The 3,605-nt window shown below is 33.7% G+C and overlaps 1 annotated feature.

The window, feature by feature from the left end:
- Window positions 1,784-1,873: an enhancer, noted in NCBI's record as "active region_5714". NCBI's record gives its function as "activates an Ori minimal core promoter by ATAC-STARR-seq in GM12878 lymphoblastoid cells {active_cell/tissue: GM12878}" and the evidence as "EXISTENCE:reporter gene assay evidence [ECO:0000049][PMID:35858748]".

The following is a 3,605-nucleotide window of genomic DNA, read 5'->3' on the forward strand; positions in this document are numbered from 1 at the left end:
TACATCTTTGAACGGTAATTGTGCCTTGATTTCCAGCACATATTTCTATCAATAACTTCATTTTAAAATCACTAGGGCCTTCTGTTGTTGTTGCTTCTGAAAGCTGATACTAGAAGTGATGTACTCCAAGAAGCCCCTTTGAAAACTTTGTTATGTAATATTACTTACAACAATCCATCCTTTCCTTTCTGCATTACCACTGTATTGCCGATTTTCCTTCTGCGTCAGTTTTTGTTTATAAACATTAACGCATCACATTTTAGGCTCTGCTAAGGTGAAATGCTGTCAAAATAAATATACTTTTTCAAAACTCATTTCCATTTCCTCTCTTCCCCAATTTCCTATTGCAATAAAGCTCTTCTTCTTTTTTGTTAATGTCCTTGATTTTGACATTGTTTTTCCTAACAGGCTTCGAAAATACCATCTTTACCAATGTGATTATTCTAGAACACATCTATTCTCAATTCTTATATTCTTACATATCTTTTTCCTAGCCCTGCCTTTCATCCTTTTTGGCCAACTAAAGAAGTCCTCCCACCACCCAACTTTTCACGTCATCTGTAACACTAAAACTATTTCAAGTTTTAACCGCTGCTAGAAAGAGGATTTTAACAACCCATGATTTGCCACAGCCATACATTTTATTTGTATACCATCCTGTCCTTTATCTAGAACTAGACTGTCTATCATTTCTTCCTTCAATATGGTGTGGTCATATTGCCAACAATACACATTTTGAGCATCAACCTTACTTAAGGACACAAAAGCTATGAAACATGTTGTATACCACTGAAAGCTACAGGCAGTATGTGATTCAGATGATGGATGCTCCATAATGGATAAAAGGTTCAGAGAAATTCTTCCGGGTCAGATCAAGCTGGAAATGGCAGTGAAGAAAGGGGAGAACATAGCCCATTGGAAAGGAAGAGGAAAATTGTTCCACAGGTTATGCCTTGATTTAATAATTGGTTGTATAATATTGGTAGATATGTAAACATAATTCAATTAAAAAAGACTTCCAAAAAATCTTTCTAAAAGACAAAAATATCATCTATTTATATGCACTGAAGCAAAAATTAAAAAACTTCTTTATATTAGCCGGAGGCGGTGGTGCATGTTGTGAGCCCAGCTACTCAGGAGGCTTAGGCTGGAGAATCATTTGAGCCCAGGAGTTCAAGGCCAGCCTGAGCAATAGTAAGACCCTCATCTCAAAAAATAAATTAATTAAAATAAAGATAGAGATAACTTTATATTAATTTTCTGAATATTAAAAACATAAGCAAAGTAATATATACTTGGCATATATTTATATACTTTAATCAGTTTATTAGTCATAGCTGCCTCTAAAACTGTGTCAGGAGTATTTTTTTGAAGAATATATATTTTATTAAGTTAGTACTGTTATTTTTCAGTTTTTCCTTAAAGTTTTCTACAATCTGCTTAAAAGCTGAATTTTCATTTCATCAACTTGTAATTACTGGCATTATCAATTCTTCTTTTAGCCCATTTTACTTTTTATTGAGAAAACACTGTAAGTGCTTAGGGGAATTAAGAACAAATTCTGCTAAAGAGGGGATATTCTTAATTCTAATTTTTTTACAAGGAAATATGTAAGCATTTCAGCTCAAAGATTCTTAAAGTTTCTGCTTTTGGATTCCAACCAAATTATTTTATTTTATTTTATTTTACTTTTTTACAAGATCTGGCTCTATCACCCAGGCTGGAGTGAAGGAGTGCAATCTAGTCTCAATGCAACCTCTGCCTCCCAGGCTGAAACCACCCTCTCGCCTCAGCTTCCCGAGTAGCTAGGATGACAGGCACGCACCACCACCCCCGGATAATTTTTGTTTTTGTTTTTGTTCTCACTTTCGTTTTCGTTTTGGTAGAGACGAGGGTTTTGCCATGTTACCCAGGCTGGTCTCGTAAGCTCAAGCGATCAGCCTGTCTCGGCCTCCCAAAGTGCTGGGACTACAGGTGGGAGCCAATGCACCCAGCCCAAATTACTTTATTTGACAAATGTTTTATAGGCTCAAACCTTTCAAATAACATATCTCTATTTATAATTTTTCAATGTCTCACAGAATGTAAATGCTGTAAAATTATAAGTCATCTCAACTTAATTCCATTCTTTTAGAGAATATAAGTGCATCTAATTAAAAATAAAAGTTCCATTTAAAAAATCTTCCCCCAAATAGGTATATTTCAAATTTCCATTGAATTTCAGAATTAGAGCTTCTATTTGAGCTCTCAGTCTCATTTGACCAGGTAAGCCCCTGCATTTGTATTCAAAGTCAGTTCCTCTTCTGTATTTTTTATTTTCAAGATATTTCTGCTTGCAAATTTTGTTTTTAGTAATTGCAGTTTTCTAAAATCTTCAAAAGGTAAAGTTTTGTTGTATGCAAATCATTTAAAGTTATGGTAAAATTTAAAAACTTAGCCAGGCATGGTGTCATATACCTGTAGTCCCAGATGCTCAGGAGGCTGAGTCAGGAAGACTGCTTGAGTCCAGGAGTTCAAGGCTGCAGTGAACTTTGATTAAACCAACACACTCCAACCTGGGCCACAAAAGTAGACCCTCTCTCAAAAAAAAAATTTTTTTAATTAAAGAAAGATTCCCAAATGACTTGGACCAAAACACAATTAAATTTCAGAGAACTTATTTATAAAAAACCATGTAATAACTTTATAAGACATTCAGGTCAATTAATATAAAATTTAAACATTTGTAAAATTGATGGCAGGTAGAAAAGGACATCTTTTTATTTATATTTTTTTATATTTAAAATTTATAACAAAAAATTTAAATTTACCTATTAGCTCTAATGCTCTAAGGCATTCATTATATGTATCAAAAACTTTTCTTGTGCACATGAGAATAGTATTCCTTATATACCATCTTGGCAGAATTGAGAAAATATCTCTCAAATAACATTTTTGTCTTCTGTCATTCAGATAAGAAACTTGGTAGAATATACTAATATAAAATTGGCAACATGTAACTGCTAGTGAATATTTTATTCTCTACATGGGGCCAACACAATAGTTGCTATTACTTTGGTTTTTGTATTATGCCTGCAGAAAAACTTGGAATTAAAAACAAAAAGAAATTAAATTGGAAGAACAGCCATTTAAAACCATACATGAAAAGTCAAGCTTCAAGCATTATACGTAAAAAGCACCTTCTAGAACTACAGATACTAAATTATTGTCTTCAGGTACCATCTTCTTAAAATAACTACTAATTTTCTAGGAGATGCTGATGCCACTTCAGCAGATTTGTGTGTTCTTGTTTCTATGTGGTCAGTGAGAGCACCACAGCCTCCGGGGTAGATGGTGCCCCTGGACAAATACTTGGTGCAAGTTACAGAGTCATCACCAACTTTCTTGAGAATGAAAACTTAGTACTTAAACTGTTATTAAACAGGCATTTTGATTATTTTTTAACTTATTTCTGTCAAAAGGGTTTATTGCAAAAATAAAAAAGTATTACAAAGCAATGAAATAGTGGCTATAGATCTATACCATACAATAAGTAGCAAAAATACCATAGCAAAATCATGCACACGACTCACTCCATTCTCTATACGCTGTAGAGTGTACAGGAC

The sequence above is a fragment of the Homo sapiens genome, chromosome 11 (assembly GCF_000001405.40).
Source record: "Homo sapiens chromosome 11, GRCh38.p14 Primary Assembly".
Lineage (NCBI taxonomy): Eukaryota > Metazoa > Chordata > Mammalia > Primates > Hominidae > Homo > Homo sapiens.